The 21,441-nt window shown below is 39.3% G+C and overlaps 1 long non-coding RNA gene across 4 annotated transcripts in view; it reads right to left on the reverse strand.

Annotated features, from left to right (window-relative positions):
- The window catches only part of LOC105378477 (uncharacterized), a 70,747-nt gene that overhangs the window by 20,189 nt on the left and 29,117 nt on the right, over positions 1-21,441 (reverse strand). Inside the window, exon 4 of one of the 4 annotated variants that reach the window (XR_946312.2) lies at positions 5,543-5,643. The exons of the other annotated variants lie outside the window; for them this stretch is intronic. This is a non-coding gene — a long non-coding RNA (uncharacterized LOC105378477). Of the gene's footprint in view, positions 1-5,542; positions 5,644-21,441 lie in introns of those variants that run through there. 4 annotated transcript variants of the gene reach the window in all.

Consider the following 21,441-nt stretch of genomic DNA (forward strand, 5'->3'; position numbering starts at 1 on the left):
CCTCGTTCTGCAAACAATTTGCAAGAGAAAGAGAAGAAACAGAGAAGATACTCTCTCCTTAAAGAGACTAAAATTATACTCTTTTGTGCCTTCTATAACTTCCTGTATCTCTTTTTTCTTGACCAACTTCCACAAAGCGCTGTCATGAAACAATAGCCAAACAGAAGTCTAAAAACTCTTGATAGGCACCATGCTGTCCAAGGGATCAATAATATTGAACTTAACTCCCAGGATCTGGCATATTAAGAAACAAGAAATGTGTTATTTTATAAATATTCTGATGCCATCTTTAAAAATATATAACTCACTTAATTTTTTAATTGTCATAAAAGACACATAACTTAAAACTTATCATATAAACCATTTTTATGCATACAGTGCATTGGCATGAAGTACATTCACACTGTTGTGCAACCATTACCACTACCTATCTCCAAAACTCTTTTCATCTTGCAAAGCTGAAGCTGTATGATTAAACAAAATTTTCCTTTTCCCACCTGCTCCCAGCCTGTAGCAACCATCATTCTACTTTCTGTCTCTGAATTTGACTATTCTAAATACGATATGTAAGAGAAATCCTACAGTACATCCTTTTGTGACCAGTTTATTTCATGTAGCAAAATGTTTTAAATGTTTATCGTGTGTTAAAGTGTCTCTAATGTTACTTTTAAAGTCGAGTTTCCCCTTCTGTCATTTGCTGGCTTAGGAAGATAAAGATTAAAGTCAAGGCAGATCCATCAGCAAAACAGTGGGCTAATAAATGACCAATACGGAAATGTCAAATCCTCATGGGTTTTCAATACAACTCCCACAGAAATTTCTTCAAATGTCAGTGACTGCAAGGGAGATAATCTTTTGGATATTATTGTAATAGAAAGAGTTTTATGTACACTAACATACCAAACTCCTTTACCATGCCTGGAAATCTTCTCCACAAATAGTAAACTCAAGCCCAGTGAAGACCACCTCCATCTCAGAATCTAGCAGCATGTTATTTTAGTTTCTTTGAACAAGAAGGCTGATATAACTGAGTTTTACAGCTTAGTACCTATGTTTGGGCATTTTCACCTAAATCATTTAATGAATACTTCAATTCTAAGTGATTTGTCAAAATGCTTTTCTTGCCTCCTTTACCTGATAAGGGGCACCTATCATTGGGCTCTGCATGTCAGCTGGTGAGAACACACAAAGATGGGGAACACTGAGAAGGTTAGAAGTTGACTCTACTGCAGAAGTGACCAGAGTCCTTCCCAAATGGCCCCTCTCCCAAAGGATTCACACCAGCCTACCAACTTACTACTGTCCATCAAATATAGCAGGTAAGCGTCTGTCATTGGAATCCTCATTTTATTTCTTTCTCCTCACTGGAATTGCTCCCCTTTAACATCCAGTTGTTGCACACAACTTTCCCCATCCTTTGGCTCAGGGATGTTCAGAGGCTTATTTTAAAACATGCAGTTATTAAGTGATGATAGGTTTGGGATTTGAACACACATTTGACTGACTGGCACCAATGGCTATTCATATCCATTTAACTTTCTGTCCTAGTAAGAGGGGAGGTTGGGATTTTAACCTAAACAGTCCAAGGGTAGCATTCATGCCCTTAATCACTTTACCACTGTGACCTTTTAAAAAAACTCACTCAAGTTGTTGGTAACACTCTGGATAGTGAAATCACACCCTGTTACCACAGCCTACCCCTCTCAGAGTTGAATAACTAATACGTTTATTTGAGGAGGAGACAGACATTTGATAGAAGTTAGGAATAATCCTTTCAACTAAAAATTGTATAAGGATGTAATATCCTAATATAAGAGAAGGCTAATCAATGACTCCATTGCTAATTTCAAACACTGTTATAGGAATGAGGATGCTGTAATACTAGATTCAAAGCCTAATTAAACATGTAAGTCAAAGTTTTTACCACAGGCTTCCTCCTTCCTCCTCCTTTTCCCTGGATCTTACTGAATATTTGCTGGAGGCAGTTGAAGAGGTCCAGGATAAGGGAGGAAGAAGGCTGAGTGTGGTTGTAGCCTTATATAATTTGGAACTGAGTAAAAAATGTAGTTAAGGAAAACAGTATGGCAAGACTTGGATCCCATCAAGGGAAGTGGCTGAGTGAGGTTGTGGTCCACCAAGATTGGGGGCTAAGTGAGGCAGGTGTTTGACACATTGTGCCCTTAGGCATTCAGTGTGCAGCAAGAACCCATGTAAGTGAGATGGCTTCTCTGGTGAGGAGTTGGTCAGTGAATCACTAATACACAAGGATAATGTGCAAATAAGAAAATCAGTTATTGGGATAATGGAAGCCAGAATTCTCAGTGTCAGAGGAGGGAGTTACAAATAAAACATAGGGAGCCTAGAATGAACCATAAATTTTGGGGATTGAATTGACATTATTGATGCAAACTCATAATTTTCACTAATACAGGTAGATATAAAAATTAATATAGAAAATTTGTGTATGTGATATGCACACAGAGTATTTCTAGCTCTATTCATTGGAAGACCAGTGGCAAAAGGTATATCTAGCCCTCTAATTATTTCTAGATATTATTATTCATTAAAATGAACCAGAGCTCCTTGGAGAAAAGGATTTAACACTGGGACAATAAAAAGTATTATATATAACTGGAATATTTTATTGTATCAATCAGCAAGAAGTATTCACAGAATAATAGTAAAGTATCAAAAAGCCATCAACGTTAGCTTAAAAGAGGCTTCCACTGGTCAATTTGGATAATTTGAGTTTAAGAGTAAATAATAATATAAACAGATTACAAACCATTAAATAACATGAAAATCTATGAGTTCATATTGATGTAAAAAATACATGACTAAATAGGCCAGGCACAGTGGCTCACTCCTGTGATGCTATCACTTTGGGAGGCAAGATGGGCAGATCGCTTGAGCCCAGGAGTTTGAGACCAGCCTGGGCAACATGGTAAGACTCAGTGTCCACCAAAAATACAAAAAATTAGCCAGCTGTAGTGGCACCCACCTGTAGTCCCAGCTACTTGGGAAGCTGAGGTACGAGGATCAATTGAGCCTGTGGGGGCGGAGGTTGCAGTGAGCTGAGATTGTGCCACTGCACTGCAGCCTGGGTGACAGAGGGAGACCCTGTCTCAAAAATAAGTAAAAAAAAAAAAAAAAAAAAAAACTGTACTTCATATTAGAATGCCAAACAATAAATATAGGAGGAATTATGGTATTAGAAAAATATCCATTTGATAGCTTTCACAGTAATGACTGAAGCCAAAACTGATGGGAAAATTTAATGAGAAAAAAGATATTTAGCTAGTTTCAAAGTATATTCCCACAAGATATGTGTTAATTTCAAAAGGAAAATGTAAGAACTGTATAGAGGAGAAATCTGGTAGACACACCTGATCCAAACGGCACCAGTGTTAGCAGCACTAACAATGGGAGAAATCCATCTGGAGTGGTGCCAGGTAGGTTTCAACAAGAGCACAGTCTTATTTCTATGATTATTTTGGACAAAAATATATAACCTGGATCCAATTATTAAAACACCAAGACTAAATGTGAAGAAATAAATGACAAAATGCTTGTAATCTTAAAATAAAATCATGAAAGACAAAAAAAAAAAACCTGAGAAACTATCCCAAATATACTAAAAGAGATATGACACCTCTGTTAAATACATTATCCTGGACTGCATCATTTCTAAAAATAAGAATATTGGTAAAATTTGCCAAATTTTGAATAGAATTTGTGGATTAGATGGTTGTATTGTATTAATAGCAATTTGTTGGTTTTGAAGGTTTGCTAGGATAATGTCCTTTGATGTAAGAAATGCACACAAAGCATTCAGGGTAATGAAGCATCATTTTGGTAACTTATTCTTACATGGCTTGAAAATATTACACCTACATTTGTATACTTATGTATGGCATAGAGTAGTCCCTTTTATCAGTAAGAAATACCTTCCAAGCCCCCCAGTGGATGCTTGAAACCAGGGATTGTACCAAACCCTACACATACCATGCTTTTTTGATCTGATAACTGAAAGGGCTACTAAGTGAGTAACAGGCAGGTGCCATATACAACGTGGATACGCTGGACAAAGGCATGATTCACATCATGGGTGGGACACAGAGGGACTGCATCATGCTACTCAGAACAGTATACAATTTAAAACTTATGGATTGCTTATTTCTGGATTTTTTCATTTAATATTTTTGGCCTACAGTTGACCATGGATAACAAAAGGCAGAAAGCAAAAGCAAAACTATGGATAAGGGGTGTCGCCGGGGGATTAGTGCATTTAAATAATTATAAAAGGAAAGATAGTAAATGTCAAGAATTGCTAAATCTAGGTGCGAAGTATATGGATTTGAAAAAATTACTCTTGCAAATCTTCCATAACTTTGAAATTGTTTAAAATTAAAAAGTAATATAAAAGTTTTCAACAGTGCTACCATATTGATAATTGAAACCTTTCTCTCATGGAGAAAAACACTGCATGTCGTGGGGCAAAATACTTCAGGAATACAGCATTCTTGAATTTCTTCCTGACAAATCCCAGCTTCTTAGTACCAACCACTATTTTCTGAAAGACACCCAGATGGTAGGTGATACTTCATTAAGATAAAGCCCAATTTCTTTCCTTTCTTGATGAAGGTGGCAAAGCCACTACTCTGAGACTAACATGAGGTGGAGGCCATTTTCATTTATGTTCACTTTTTGGGGTTGCCAACTTCTGTATCTGAGGACTATAAACAGCTAGAATACAGAGTTAAGAAAATTGCTCAGAAATTTCATAAGGGATTTTGTACTGTTACTGCTACATGATTTAGCTATCTCAGCGGACACTGGCCTGGCAGGAAATTCCTTGCAAAGCTCTTAATTCTGCTGTAACTCTCTGGCATCACTTCATTTTAACTTCATAAATGTGTCTTAGCCAACCATGTATCTATTAATTAACCTTTAGAAAAATAAGATTCTCCAACTTTTTTAGTGACAATATTTGGAGTCAAACCTATCTTCCCAAGGCTATATTGAAATCTCTTTGGTCCAGTTTAACAACTGTGCTAAACCCCACTCATCCTATAAGCCTGACTAAAAACTCTTCAACACTTCAGAATAAATCCATCTCAAATTTCAACACCATTATTCTTTCTTGATTCTTGTCTTATGTGCCTCACTTTAGAGTTAATTATTTATATCTTAAGTTTTCTACTGAACTGAGACTACAAGCTTCTCAAAAGTGTATAGAGGTTTGCTCATCTCTGTGGGCTCTACCATGTTGAGAGAAGATATGATAAAGCATAACTCCTAATTCATTGCCTTCTTGTTTAATCAAGAGAAGAACCCAATGCTCAATAATTGAGAAGTTGTGAAGGATAGATTGTAAGGTGGCCTCCATGATCCTTACATCTCAGTAATTCACACACCTGTGTAATTCTCTTAAGTGTAGTCAAGACCTGTTAACTTGATTCTACCTAATAGAATGTGACAAACATGACAGGGAATACATAGGTATGTATTCTTACATGCATTATAAAGGATTAACTGTCCATCATAGTATCAGGTGTTCTCACTGGCTGGCTTTGAGGAAGTAGGCGGCCATGCTAGGGAGGCTTTGTCACAAGCAGATGAGGTTGGCTTCTGGCCAAAAGTCTAAAAAAAAAAAAAATGAGGCTCTCAGCATAACAGCCTGCAATAATTAAAAGCGCCTAAGAATTGTGAGAATGTGGAAGCAAATATTTTCCAATTGGAGCCTCAGATAAGATCACAGCCTCATCTGACACCAAGATTGCAATAAAAGGCTGTTAAAGTTGACACTTTTTTCCCCTTTCTACATTTCTTGTTACCTAATCTCCTTTATAAGATTATTTCAATCTATTTTCCTTTCCTCATTTCCCCTACCCCAAATAACAGTGAATCACAAAGGCCAGCTTCTTTATAAGCCTTGCTTTGCCATTGGAACTAACTTTTTAGGTATAATTTTGGAGATACGATGGAGAATCTCTCTGTCTCTCTCTTTTGAATATCAAGGACTCTATACTTTCAAAACACTTTTATGCTCAGCTATTTGTACACATTATATCGAAATTTTCCATTAATATCAGTACTATTACATGCTATGAATAGGCAGGAAAACCAGCATTAGAATTTTCAAGGTCTTAAGATTTGGCATGACTACAGAATAATATTTTAACCATAGTCACTTAATATAAAATGTCATGTGTTTCTACTTTTATCCATTCTTCAAAATAGTCTTTCCTATGGAATTTTTTTTAAAATTATACAAATAAATAAATTTATATGAATATTTCCTGGCACTATGTTAAAGGTCAAATTTATTTATTGTTATCAGTGTAACCCTAGCTTGATTTACCAATATAAAATTATGGAAGATTGCTTTTAAGTGGGTAATGATTTCGTTTTTCCTGGATGTATTTCTTCCTTTAATAAAACTAATGTTATTTTATTAAGGAGAAAAAAAAACACTTTTATGTAATGTAAACTCTATCTTTTGTCCTTGTCTACTTTTTTAGTTTGTCTATATGTTATGATTTCTGTCTTCAGAAAGGCAAAGTGACTCTCCTGGCCTAAGCCCAGCGTGTAGCAGAAAAAAAAGTCTTTCATAAATATTTTCTGGGTGAAAATTCAGTGACCAAGTGCCTTGAAATTACACAATGGTGTTGCCTAATCTACTCCCTGTTGTGGGGACAAAAAAAATAGTCCTAAAGTTAGTACCTAAGCTTTCCAGATTCACAGACATACATGTATATACACATATGCATATGCACGTGCATGTACATTACAAGAAGACAATTAACCAGAATGGCATGTTGGCAAACAGAAAACTACTGCCCTTTATTAATGCACCAGAAAATTCAGGAGACCCAGTTCCCTACTCAGCACAGCAAATTCAGACCCTTGATGTGTATTAAGCACTTTTCATGTCATAAAATCAGAAATGTAGACCAGTGGAACAAAATAGCCCAGAAATAAATCCACACATTTACGGTCAGGTGATTTTTGATAAAAGGTGCCGTGAAGGAACAATGGGGAAAGGATAGTCTTTTCAATAAATGGTGCTGGGAAGACTAGATATCCACATGCAGAAGAACTAAACTAGACCAGCCTGTCTCACTTTATACAAAAATCAACTCAAAATGGGATAGACTTAAATGTAAGATTTGAAATTGTAATGCTAATAGAAGAAACATAGGAAAAAAATTCCATGACATTGATTTTGGCATTGATTTTTCTTATATAACCCCAAAACACAGGCAAACAAAATGAAAATAGACAAATGGAATTATATCAAACTAAACAGCTTTGGCACAGCAAAAAAAAAAAAAAAAATTAACAGAATGAAGAGCAACCTATAGAATGGAAGAGAAAATAATTGAGAACCATACATCTGATAAAGGGTTAAAATATATAATGAATTTAACTCAATAGCTAGAAAATAAGTAACCCATTGGGCAACAAAACTGAAAACATTACTCAAAAGACGACATACAAATGGCCAAGTATATGAAAAAAAATTCAACAGCACATTATCAGGAAAACGTAAATAAAAATCACAATAAGTTATCACTGCATTCCTGTTAAAATGGCTATTATCAAAAAGATGAAAGATAACAAGTGCTGGCGAGGATGTGGAAAAAAGAGAACCTTGATACAATGTCGATGGGTATGTAAGCTAGTTGAGCCACTATAGATAACGGTATGAAGGTTTCTCAAAAATTAAAAATAGAATTACCATATAACCCAGGAATCTCACTATCAGATATATATCCAAAAGAAATGAAATCAGTATGTCAAAGAGATATATAAACTTCCATGTTCATTGCAGCATCATTCACAATAGACAAGGTATGAAATCCACCTAAGTGTCCGTCAGTGGATAAACAGATAAAGATAAATGTGGCATGTATGCACAAAGGGATGCTATTCAGGTTTAAAACATGAGGAAATCCTGCCATTTGTAATAACATGAATGAACCTAGAGGACATTAGTTTAATAAGCCGGGCAAAGAAATACAAATACTGCATGATCTCACATATGTGGAATCTAAAAAAAGTGAAACTCATAGAAGCAGAGAGTAGAATGGTGGTTACCAGGGGCTAGGATGGGAAAGTACTGGGGAGATGTTGGTCAAAGACTACATAATTTCAGTTAGATATGAGAAATAAGTGAAGAGATTTATTGTGTAGCATGGTGACCATATTTAATAACAATGTATTGTATTCTCAAAAATCATTGAGATTAAAGTGTAAAAAATACTATGTATGTAAGGTAATACATATGTGAATTAGCTTGAGTTAGCCATCCCACCATGTATACCTATTTCAAAACATAATACGTAATAAATGCATATAATTTTGTCAATTAAAAAAATAAATAATTTCTTAAAAAAAAAGCAATTGCTATAGGCTAAATGGTTTGTGCTGAGGTCCTCTTCTTCATGGATCTTGATCAAGGGACAGAGATGAGCTGGGAAAATTAGGAAGGATCACTTTTCCCTGTGACATTTTGCTCTATTGTATAAGGTCAGTGAGCCTGCCTCAACTATGGTGTTCAGACTTATCCTTGAGTCTCACGGCGCTGTGAGATTCTCTCCCTGATGTTATCAGAAAAAAAGACAGTATTAAGAATTGAAACAAGTCTTGTATTTCAGATAGAACCACATGTCTCTCTATGGTGAAGATAAAATGATATAATGTCATTATGGCTGGTAAACTATACAAGAGTAGACACATACAAAGATTGGTGTTAATGTTAATTAACATTTATGAGCACTGATTAGGTACTAGTACTATCCTGGACACATAATCCTATCCAGTTTATCTTTCCTAAAACATTATGAGAACAGTATTGTCAACATATTATACATGAGAAAACTGAGGCTCAGAGAAAATGGCAATTTAAACCATCCTCAGATTCAGTACATACCAGAGGCATGATTCACACTCATGTCTCTCTGGCTTCCAAATTCACATTACATAAATAGTCCATTTCTTCCTGCTCTTATCTGCCTTTGAGTTTATTCTTATATGTTAGGAAAAGCTATGTAATTTTTTTTAATATTCAGCAAGTTTTTAGTAATAAAGTCAGTATCACCCTGCCTACGTCTCCATGACAATTCATAAACTAAAACCATGACCATGAACATCTTATTGGTGTGCTGCCAAGAACAAACCTCATAACTTGCTAAGATGGAGGAGTCAGGACATATGAGGGAGCAGTAATGTTGACTAAGAAGATGCCAATTTTACAGACCCCCTTCTTGGACTGTAACGACACTCCCCTTAATGCTTTCCCGTTCCTCACCTTCCAAGGTGTACGAGTGAGGAAGGAATTAATATAAGCCACTGCGCCTGCCTCCTGAAAAGATTATGCTTATAAACTTCAGGCTGGGTCCTCATCAAAAAAAGAAATGGAGACCATGACTCACCTGAGAGGTCTCAGGAGCAGGTCTTAATGTATTTGTTTGAGAGACATAAAGTGTTCCAAGGAAATATTCTTTCCTGGCCAAAAGCTGCATTCTTTGAGATGAGATGATTATGCCTCTTTTAAGACATAAATGAAAGTATGTGCATGAGCACACCATGTACAAGCACCTCAATTTTAGCTTGGAAAAGAGATAGGACAGCCAAGCCTCATCTCCCAGAGTGTGAGTATAACAGAATCAGGCATGAAAGCCTGGAACTTGAGGGGCAAGGGGAATGTCTGAGTCTGACAAACTGAAATTCAAACTCTAGCTCATTTGTATATTAATAGTAAAATTGCAGAAAATTGCTTCTTCTCTCTGATTCTTCACTTCCCATCTATAAAAATAAGGATACAAAGTACCGGCCTCCTCATGATGTTTTCTTGAGTAATTTAGTTAAGTAAGAAAATGCATGTTAAAAAAGGAAAAACATTCAGTACAGTGCCTGGGACAGAATGAGCCCTCCACAAATGCTTTTCTTAGACTGTGTGAGTTCCTAGATTCTGAATGAAGAGATTGGCTTTCATAAGTGTGAAAGGAGGAAGTGAGAAAAGACTGATCCAAAGAAGTGGTCCAAAAGGGAAAATGTGATAAGGTACCAGTGTGCACATATTGAAGCTCAAGGAGAGGTAATTGTGTGCTAGCACATCTGGGCACTGCTTGGGCTAGAAGGGCAGGGAGATTCAACGTTGCTGCTGGGGGGACCCAGAGCCTTTTTGAACACTTCTGAGATTTTGAAGAAATAAAGTAAATTTTAAAAAGAATAAAAAGAAAGAAAAGGAGGATAGGAAGACAACAAAAGAAAGGAGCCCAGAAATATGCAAGACTTTATTCAGTCAACCATCAGTAACTGAGATACCATAAAAGGGAAATTAAAAAGAAAAGCCGACATGAAAGTATATCCAGGCTCAGCAAAAACTAATTGGTGACCATGCACAAGCTAAATACCTTCCTTGGGCCTCAATATTCAAACCATATTTCTATGGTGACTAGATGTTTTCTAAAATCTCTTGAAGCTCTGAATTTTTAAAGCTTTGGATCCAATCATAAGCCAAGCTTAATGATGACCATGGTTTTACTAAATACACAAATATATTTCATCAAATATATATCAAATAGTGTGGGACTGCAAGGAATATGTGTTCTCTAGCCAACTTCAATTATATACTATTTTTATATAGAAAAGTATTCAACACACTACTGAAGATAACTTGGTGATTGGAGACTGTCCGAGGGCAACCACTGTGTCCACAAGCTGAAGATGGCAGGGACTCAGGAAGGAAGAAGCCTGGGTCACTGAATCCACCCAAAGTAGAGTCACCTCCATCCAGAAACACTTGCATTGAATAAGGACAAAGTGGCTCCATTGAAAATTTAAGACTTGGCCAGTTCCACCTGGCTTCGTGCATGTTCTCACAGCTGAAATCTAGATCTTTCCTATAACTTCATTGCTGGGACCCTTTAGTCCTCTGTCCCTACTCCCCTGCCTGCATTGATCAAACACAAAGGGGACCTGGAGCCTATAGAAGATGGAGATCCCTGTGTCCTGTGCAGACAAGGTCAGACTTCCCTGAGGCAGAAGAAAACTTTAGATCAGGAGAATGAACCTCAACCAGGGATGCCCTCTACTGAAGTGGACCCCACCACTCTGCCCTGGCATGCTCGTGTTCAGGGCAGGGCTGAGGCATGGCACTGCTCTGGTCTTCTAGGTTTGCTGCAGTGCCAGGTACAGCCTAGAGTGGCCTGAGCTTCAGACTGATCTCTGGTTGTATTCAGCCCTTTCTGCTTCCCCAAATTTTCTATATCACTTGCTATTAATAGTTGTACACTGAATAGAGCAAAGTTAGACAGAACTGTTTTATTGAACAGGGCTGGCCACACTCTCCCTGGCCCGGCTGATGATCTGTCCTAGTGGCCAGGAACATGTTTACATTAGAAACGGACCATGCCACAGGGTTCTGTGTAGTATGGTTAATGTGAACTACGGGACACTGGCATTCAAAGGCAGAACTCCCTGCTCTTTCGACCGGGGAGGGCTGGCTGGCTGAGTGCCAAAAAAAAAAAAAAAAAATGTTCTCCAAACTATAAACTATTGCTGGAGCTTCTCTGGTATTCTGATTCCAGGTCTCTTTGGGTTTCCCTGGGAGATCCTGATAAGAACTGCTATGGTTTTTATAATAAACAGCTGACATATGTTAAGAAGGGGGAATGAGCTAGCCAAGATGTTTTCTGCCAAGGTTGAAGTATATTAAAATCAGGGAGAAGATTGGGCTAGTTACATAAGCCTTTGGAACCATAAAGCCTTCCACCTGTGGCAGAAGCCAGTCCTCTGAAGTTACAAACTGGAGGAGGGGGATGAGAAGGAGGAGTGAAAAGGAGAGGGGGCAGAAAAGGGAGAGGAGAAGGAGGACAGGAAGGGGGTGGGGGAGGGATCTTGTTCAATTAAGTGTGAATCTGGCCCATTGTGTCTTTCCCTGTGTCTGATATTTGTCTGAGGCACCATTCCCTTCATACTCATCAATTGACAACTAATACGATCTACTCTTCTCTCCTATGTTTGAAAGACAGGACAACAGATTTTTCTATTGTAATGTCGGCTTATTTTATATGTGTGTGTCTATATATCTCTACACACACATATATATTATCACGGGAATAAAGATTGAACACAACATTTTCTTCCTCTCCCTTTCCCACTCCTCCTTCCCTCCCTCCCTCCCCCTCATATGAATAATCGTAGAGGGCTCATTATAGTACAATTCAATACACAATAAAAACTCAGTTTTAGAGTCAGAAGAACTAGATGTAGGAGAGTTATCTAAAGCAGTCTCACTGGCCTTAACCGCTCCCTCATTCACACAGATGAAGAAAATGAGGCTGAGAAGGCAAATGGTTTCCAAGGACTATGGTCAGTCAACAACAGCTGTTACTGATCTCCAAATATCCTAGTCCTGCAATCACCCTCTCTTCCTCTTAGGAAGTCTGGAACCCCAATGAAAGGTGCCAGGGAATGAAACTGACACCTTTCCCCACATCAGCACCACCATCTGAACCACATGCCTCCTCATGAACAGATTTCAGTTATGTTAAAAATAACTTTCAAAAAATGCTTGTTGGATTCTTCTTTGACTTTGTTCCCTTCATCGCCCTTGCAGGATCCATTCTTGATCTTTGGAGCATAATAAACTCTGACCTGATGCCAACACTGACCACAGGGATTATGTGATCCTTTACAAAATTCCCTGGCAACTGTTATTTTATCATGTAATTCTGAAACAGGCAGTAAATGATGATCACTTTTTCTGGTTTTAGCGAGGGTTCATTCGTTCATTCTAGCAGACAAAAATCAAAGCCTGCAAAATGACCTTTTAGGCAAGCAAGTCTGTACCCTGAGGAGGGGGCAGATAAGTACACAAAGTATATAATGACAATCCTATTACCAGCAAGTGAAAGTTAATAGAGATGGTGGTATTTCAGGTTGACAACACTAAAAGCAGGTGCTAAGATGGAATTGGGCTTGAATAATATTTTTTAGGGATCAACACCTGTGAAAGGGAGGTTTTGAAAGCTGGTTAAAGCAGAAAGAACATCTGAATGGTGATTCAGGCTTCACAAACACCCTTTCACCCCAAAGAGAACTCTAAAGGCACATGGCCTATTTGAGTTTCCCCGCAGAGGTCTTTGCTATCCCCAGCAAGATCAGTCAGTATGGGCCATTGTGGAAAAGTATGCAGCTCACTCACTACAGCTGAGGCAGACTATGAAGGAGGTGGCAGCTCTAGACTGTCAGTAACAGCGTTTCTAGTGACCAAGCAACATGTTCTTCCCATAAGAAGGATTCGAAGCATCTCCCACAGCAGTTTTAAGGAAGGGTCAATCACACATCCAGAAATAAAACCAGGGCACCAGAGAGGGGGAGGAAGTTGAAGACAAAGATGGGACAGTGTGGGAGGAGAAAAATAAATGTGGTTTCGAATTCAAGAGTTAGGAAAAAGTACACAGTCTGGAAGGATAGTTTTCCTATTCAATACCAAATTTTTTGTTGTTAATACTACAAGCCTAAGTAGAAGGTGTCTTCTCTTAGATGCTGTGCAGAGATTTTAGTATTTTCTCTAAAGTATTTCCACACCTGTGCCTCATCTTTCTTACCACGTTCCCCTGTCATGAACCCACTTTTTTATGATTTCCCTTTAAGAAGGGACATGACATGGAGAGAGAGGCTCCTTGATTTGCCCACGTCTGTCAGTGAGTTGGTGAGAAACTTGGGCTTTAACCCAGACCTGTTGAGCCCCCATACTGAGAGTTTTAACTGAATCATGATGTGTTAGTCAGGGTTCTCTTAAAGGGACATAAGCAATAGGATATACATATATACATAAAAGGGAGTTTATTAAGTATTAACTTACATGATCACAAGGTCCCACAATAGGCTGTCTGCCAGCTGAGGAGCAAGAAGAGCCAGTCTGAGTCCCAAAACTGAAGAACTTGGAGCCTGATGTTCAAGGGTAGGAAGCATCCAGCATGGGAGAACCTACGTAGGCTGGAAAGCTAGGCCTACCTCCTTGCTTCACGTTTTTCTGCCTGCTTTATATTTGCTGGCAGCTGATTAGATTGTGCCCACCTGATTAAGGGTGGGTCTGCTTTCCCCAGCCTACTGACTCAAATGTTAATCTCTTTTGGCAACACCCTCACAGACACATCCAGGATCAATATTGCATCCTTTAATCCAAGGAAGTTGACATTCAGTATTAACCATCACAAGGCCACCCCTTGTCAACTTGAACCCACACACATCTCCAGAGATCATACATAATCTTCAAATAAAATAAAGACAATAATAAGGTCAGAATTCTGACCATGTAACATAATACAACTATCCTTGGTACAATTGGAAATGCACCAATCCCAAACCCAAATACTATTACATACAGTTAACAATACTTAAATGCTGATATGAAGTCAATAAATCTTATGTCACATGATAAACGAAAAGGAAATACAATGAAGATATTTTCTTAGTACAAGTGTATACATGCACAAACATGTTTTTAACAAAAGAAGGAGGCAATACTTGTGACAATTACAGCCCTCATTTCTGTAGCTGGTCATGTGGTCACAGCTGGTATTGATGACTACCTCCGTCTACTATCCATTCTGTATTCCCTTTGCCTTCAACAAGCACTTCAGCAGGTTGTGGATTTTTTTCCTGGTGGAGTGACCCAAACCTTCATTCCTGAGGGGTCTGGGTCTTTTGTAGTTCTGCCTGCATTGGGCTGTTGTAGTTTCTCATTGACCTTAATCACAGGGCATGGTAATACCAAGAGACACCCTAATGGATCTCCGGTATTCCATGCATACACTTCCTTGCCTCAGTTGTGGAGTAGCAGACTGTTTTTATCTTTATAGTCCTGGTCAATCACCCCAGCCAACACTGTAACTTCCTTCTTAGACTGTTGACTTAAAGGTAGGAGGAGCCCCAAGTGTCCAGGTGGTAATTTTAACTTTCAGTTTAATGGAATCATTGTTGTGCCTCCTGGTGGCAGCATTCCTCCCTCTGAAACTAAGACCTCTAGGCTAGCAGAATGTAATGTCGTGGGAACAGAAAGCCAAAATTTTGCTAGTGGATCACTAGGGGTGATGGTGACTGGTGCCACTTCCATTTCCACCCCTTGATTCCTGGACCCATGAATCCTGGCTATGGGAGAAACAGTACCATATATTGAATGTTGATTCAGAGCATACACAGCCTTCTGGAAAACTTTGCCCCAGCCCTGCAAAGTATTGTCACCTAGTTGGCATTGTAATTATCAAGATTTCAAAAGGCCATTCTACAGTTCTATCAATCCAGCTGCTTCAGGATAATGGGGAATGTGGTAAGACCAGTGAATTCCATGAGCATGAGACCACTGCCACACTTCTTTAGCTGTAAAGTGAGTGCCTTGGTCAGAGGCAATCACGTGTGGAAGACCATGATGGTGGATAAGGCATTCCATGAGTCCATGGATGGTAGTCTCGGCAGAAGCATTGCATGCAGGATAGGAAAACCCATATCCAGAGTAAGTGTCTATTCCAGTGAGGACAAACCTCTGCCCTTTCCATGATAGAAGAAGTCCAATATAATCAACTTGCCACCAGGTACCTGCTGATCACCCCGAGGAATGCTGTCATATCGAGGGCTCAGTGTCGGTCTCTGCTGCGGCAAATTGGGGTGGCTGGGGAAAAAGGCTAAGTAGTGCCCACAGAAGGGGTCATCATATCCACTTGATTATTAAAATCCTCCTCTGCTGAGGTCGCCTGTTGGTGAGCACTCACATGGGATACAAATATCTTCACATTTTTTGACCAGTCAGGGAGGTCCATCCACATACCTCTTCTCCAAATTTCTTTGTCTCCAATTTTCCAATCATGCTTCTTCCAAGTCCCTGACCATCCAGCCAAACCACTGGCTACAGCCCATGAGTCAGTATATAATCACACATCTGGCCATTTCTCCTTCCATGCCAAGTGCACAACCAGGTACAGTGCTCGAAGTTCTGCCCACTGGGAAGATTTCCCTTCACCTCTGTCCTTCGGGGATGTCCTAGAAAGGGGCTATAATGCTGCAGCTGTCCACTTCCATGTGGTGCCTGCATATCGTGCAGAACCATCTGTGAACCAGGCCCTAGCCAACTGATCATAGGGAACTCCCCATGAGGCCATCAGTGCAGGCTGGAGAAGAGAAGGCAGGGTGGAAAGAGTGGAGACCATGGGCATTTGAACCACTTTCTCATGTAACTTACTTGTGCCTTCAGGACCTGCTCGAGCCCAGTCACATATATTCCACTTCCACTCGATGATGGAATGCTGTTGTGCATGACCCACTTTATGGCTACATGGCTCAGAAAGCACTCAGTTCATGATAGGCAGTTCAGTTCACATGGTGACTTGGTGACCCATAGTCAAACATTCAGTTTCCACCAAAGCCCAGTAACAGGCCAAGAGCTGTCTCTCAAAAGGAGAGTAGTTATCTGCAGAAGATGGCAGGGGCTTGCTTCAAATTCCTAGAAGCCTCCACTGTGATTCACCTATGGGAGCCTGCCAATGGCTCTAAACAGCATCCTTGTCTGCCACTGACACCTCAAGCACCACTGGATCTTCTGGGTCATATGGCCCAAGTGGCAGAGCAGTTTGCACAGAGCAGGCAGTCTCAATCAGTTGCAGAGCCTTCTCCTGTTCTGGACTCCACTCCTGGTACCAAAATCTATATTAGTCAGGGTTCTCTTAGAGGGACAAAATTAATAGGATAGGATACACACACACACACACACACACACACACACACACACACACACACACACACACACACACATATATACATATATGAGTTTACTAAGTATTAACTTATAGGATCACAAGGTCCCACAATAGACTGTCTGCCAGCTGAGGAGCAAGAAGAGCCAGTCCAAGTCCCAAAACTGAAGTCTGGGTTTCTAGGGCAGGAAGCATCCAGCACCAGAGAATGATGTAGGCTGGAGGCCCATCTCATCACTTCACATTTTTCTGCCTGCTTTATATTCACTGGTGGCTGATTAGATGGTGTCCACCCAATTAAGGATGGGTCTGCGTTCCCCAGCCCACTGACTCAAATGTTAATCTCCCTTGGCAACATCCTCACAGACACACCCAGGATCAATATTGCATCTTTCAATCCAATCAAGTTGACACTTAATATTAACCATCACACATGATAAATGATCACCAACGTTAGTATCATAGCCATTTAGCCCATCTCTGATAGAACTAAGGCATGGTGTGAGGCAGAACATTGGCTTTGTGGCATTAATTCCAAATCTCTCATATACCCCAGACACCTTCTGTGGGGCAACCAACTGTGAATCTTCTCTTGCCTTCTGAACCAGCTTCATTTCACTGAACATGTATTGAGAAGCTACCATATGCAGGGTACAGTTTGTATTTCTTGTACTTCTCTTCTTTAATCTTCCCTCCTATCTAGCCCCATGATAACATTTCTGGTTCTTGTGAGAATGGCCCATGTTGGCTCCTTTGCAGGGAGTTAGGCCTTTTAACAGCTGTGCAAGTAGATATATCAGGATATTTTTCCACAGACACAGATGTTTTATTTATAGGGCCCCATTCACTTCTCATTAAGATGCTAGAGAGAGGAAGGAAGAGTTGAGAAAAGCCAGAAGACATTGTAGAAGAAAAAAAAAAGAAAAAAATTAGAATTAAAATGTGAGGGTGGAGGGGTGCAGAAATGCCCAGAAACATCCTCAATCAGCTCCATGAAAACAGGAACCATATCTGTTATGTCCCTCCCATCTTCTTAGTTCCTTGAACATCATCGGACAGATATCTGTCTTCTGGATAAATAAAGTTAAAAAGAACTAGGCACGATCAGAGTTTGGTGAAAAACAAAACAACTTCAACTGTATTAGTCTTTCATGCTGTGATAAAGACATACCCAAGGCTGGGTTATTTACAAAGAAAAAGAGGTTTAATGGACTCACAGTTCCATGTAGCTGGGAGGCCTCACAATCATAGTGGAAGGCAAAAGGCACGTCTTACATGGCAGAAGACAAGAGAGAATGAGAACCAAGTGAAAGGAGTTTCCCCTTCAAAAACCATCAGAACTCACAAGACTTATTCACTATTACTAGAACAGTATGGGGGAAACTGTCCCTGTGATTCAATTATTTCCTACCTGAATATCTCCTAATTGAAACTCCCTTTGGGGGAGTTCAAATCTCTCCCAAAAGATGTGGGAATTATGGGAGCTACAATTCAAGATGAGATTTGGGTGGGGACACAGCCAAACTATATCATCAACTAATTATTTTCTAGAAAATATAGACATTTTATACAACTATTTCCTCTTTTTTTAAAAAAAAAAAGGATCTAAGGTTTGAATTTAAAGTCAGGGATTGATGCACAGGAGATGTAGCTATAGGCAGCCAGGGCTGTGCACAGTAGGGGAGAAAGAAAAGTGGAAAGACATCCCAGTTGCTTTTTCACCGATTGGGTATGCCTTTTTCAATAAATCCTCATTTCCAGGGACAAGACTCTTCCAAGGGCCAAAAGCCTCAATAAAATTTGCATTTCCATATAGTTCTATTAAAAAATGAGCAAAATGTATTCTGTGGCCTAATTTTATTATTTTTTGTTTTATTTTTAAAGCACAATCAGCAATTTTAAAGACTGGGGCCTACAGTTGGATGCAATGTGAAGTCTTCTGAAGTTAATATGCTGAAAAGTGAATCATTAAACTTAATTTAACTACATCCAGTTGTGTTCTCCAGACCAAAGAATGGTTTTATTCTACTAATTATCCCATGGTTTTCATGGCTTGGGTTTCTTCCATGAGCCACTTCAGTATGAAAGCAGGCAACTAAGCACTCTATTCACAAAACAGGGAAACCTGAATTTGCCATCACTCATGTCAAATGGTCAATTAGGTTCCCAGACAGACCTCAGTGCCATGTGTTATGGTAATGAACAAAATAAGTATAAGATATTAGATCGTTACAGTATTCCATGCATTAACCTTCAAATTAACCCTGCATTAGACACTCACAACCTTTTCTAGGTTCAAATCTAATGTCACTTATTTTACCATGACTCATAATTACCAAAGTCAGCTTCCATCCAATGTGATTAGTTCCTTGGCCCTGGAGCCCACCAGTAGGTGGAACCTCTGTACCAACCAGTGACTTAGTGACAGATTGCTGGACTGTGACTCAGGAAGTATACAGAGGACCCTTTATTTCAGTGCCTCTCCAAATACTTGGCAATATTCATTCCCCTGCAGCTATTTACCAGCCACAAAATCTACAACTCCCTGTCCCATAATTTTCACTGAGCATTTCTTCCTGCCTCTCTTCTCTTCACGTTTTGTTAATTCAACTGATGGGTGTCGAGCATCTATCATATCCCAGCAGAAACTGTTCCAAGTGCAGGGGCAGAGTGACAGAAAGATATTCATAGTCCTTGGCTGTGTGGAGTTTATATTGCAGGAGGATAGGTGGAAAAGGAAGAGAAAGACATTCAAATAGAAAGAAGAAGATGGAGGAGGAAGAGGAAAAAGGGAGGAAGGGGGGAGGAGGAGAAATACAAATATTATATAATTTGTGACAATAATTTTTAATCAATTCCCATTTCTTACTTTAAGCTTCTTTAAATTTGTCATTTAATTAGTGACCATTATCAGCATTTACAAATGGTAGTTCAATAAATTCACTCAACATCCCTAAGAAGTGGTTACTGATCCCTTTTTATAGATGAGGAGACTGAATTTAAGTATATGATAAAATAATAATAACAACAACAGCAACAACAATATTAATGAAATCTAAGATATACTGATATATGCCAAGAATTTACTCACAGTTTTATTCAAGCTTATGATAATCCAATGAGGCACTATTATCCCCATTTTACAGTTGAAGAATGGAAGCTCTGAGAGTTCAGCCCTCTCCAGAGATTACAAAGCTATCAATTAAGAGAGCCAGAATATAAACCTAAATCAAACTCTCTCCAAAGTCTTTATTCTTAAGCACATATGAGAAAACTGAAGCCCAGAAAGGTTAGATCTTGCCCTATACTACACAAGTGGAAGAAGAGTTGAACCCACACCCAGATTCCAAAATCCATGTTCTCCCTCTTACCCATGAAAGATTACTCTTCTCCAAATTCTAGGCTACACTCTGAAGAAGTTCTTATTTTTTTCACTGCTACCCTGAATATCCCCCGTGTGGAGCCTTATCTCACAGGCAGAAAGTAGATAGTAGATACAGCAGAAGATATAGCTGCCACCTGCCTCAGTCCTCTCACACAAAGGGCAGGCAGCCTTTCCTCTCTCCTTTGCCAACTTCTGAGTCTCCTTGTCTCTGAGCCCCTCCTCATCTGCACAGCCTTCTTCCACTTTGGTGCATGACTGGGCACTTCCTACTCATAGCCCTTCAGTTCTTACCAGCTCCTGGGGCACCATATCCATCTGTGCTTGCATGTGCTGTTCTGGCAATGCTCCTAAATCTCGCGCGTGAGTGCGTGTGTGTGTGTGTGTGTGTGTGTATGAGTGTGTGCGTGCATGCTAATGAATCTGGAGCAAATTGTCACAGGCAAGACAACCAAGGACAAGGAGATAAGCATAAAGCGTGAAAGTGGCAGGTGATAGAAAAGGACACAAAGATGTATCACAGTGACAGAAGACAGGGAAGTCTTCAGAGCCAAGGGACAAGGGTCTTCAAGAAGCATAAGATGCTGAGGAATGGTTTCCTGTTCATTGTGCTAGGCACCATATTAATTACACCAGAAACTTTTTGTTTTGAACTTCTTTATTTATCCTGTAAGGAAAACACTTGTTTCCTATTATACAGAAGAAGAAAAAATATATGGAGTAGAAAGCAAAATTTCAAAGGTCACATAGTGAATAAGTGAAGGAGTCAGGGTTTAAAAATGTATTGCTACAACATTAAAACTTGTTTTCTATACTAAAATTTTCCACTGAGACAAATATGACAGAAGAGTTACTGAGATTGAAGAGTGAGTGAGGGCCTCCTTCATTGGTAACTCAGACATAGGTGATCCTATAAGTTACTATCCATGCTAGGATACTTTTGAGATGAAAGCAAGTACTCTTAATAACATGTGAAGACAACAGGTATGAAGGAGATGTTTAATCTCCCTACTAAGAGGGAACTGTTGACCGAAAAAGTAGTCCTAGTAGAACCCTGAGGTGGAAGGCAGATAGCAGTGGACTAAAGAGGTAAGAAGAGATGAAGAAAAGCAGAAAATGAGAGCAGATCATGTTACTTAAAAAATAATTTCTGGACACCAGAGGAACGATACTGAAAATTTTATGAGGGTGCTAGGTCTGGCTTAACTGTGAACTCGGTGATGGCAGAGACCATGTGCATTTCTTCATTGTTGTATCCCTAACACCTCCTACAAAGCCTGAAATCTAGAGGCA

This window comes from Homo sapiens, chromosome 10, assembly GCF_000001405.40.
Source record: "Homo sapiens chromosome 10, GRCh38.p14 Primary Assembly".
NCBI classification, from domain to species: domain Eukaryota; kingdom Metazoa; phylum Chordata; class Mammalia; order Primates; family Hominidae; genus Homo; species Homo sapiens.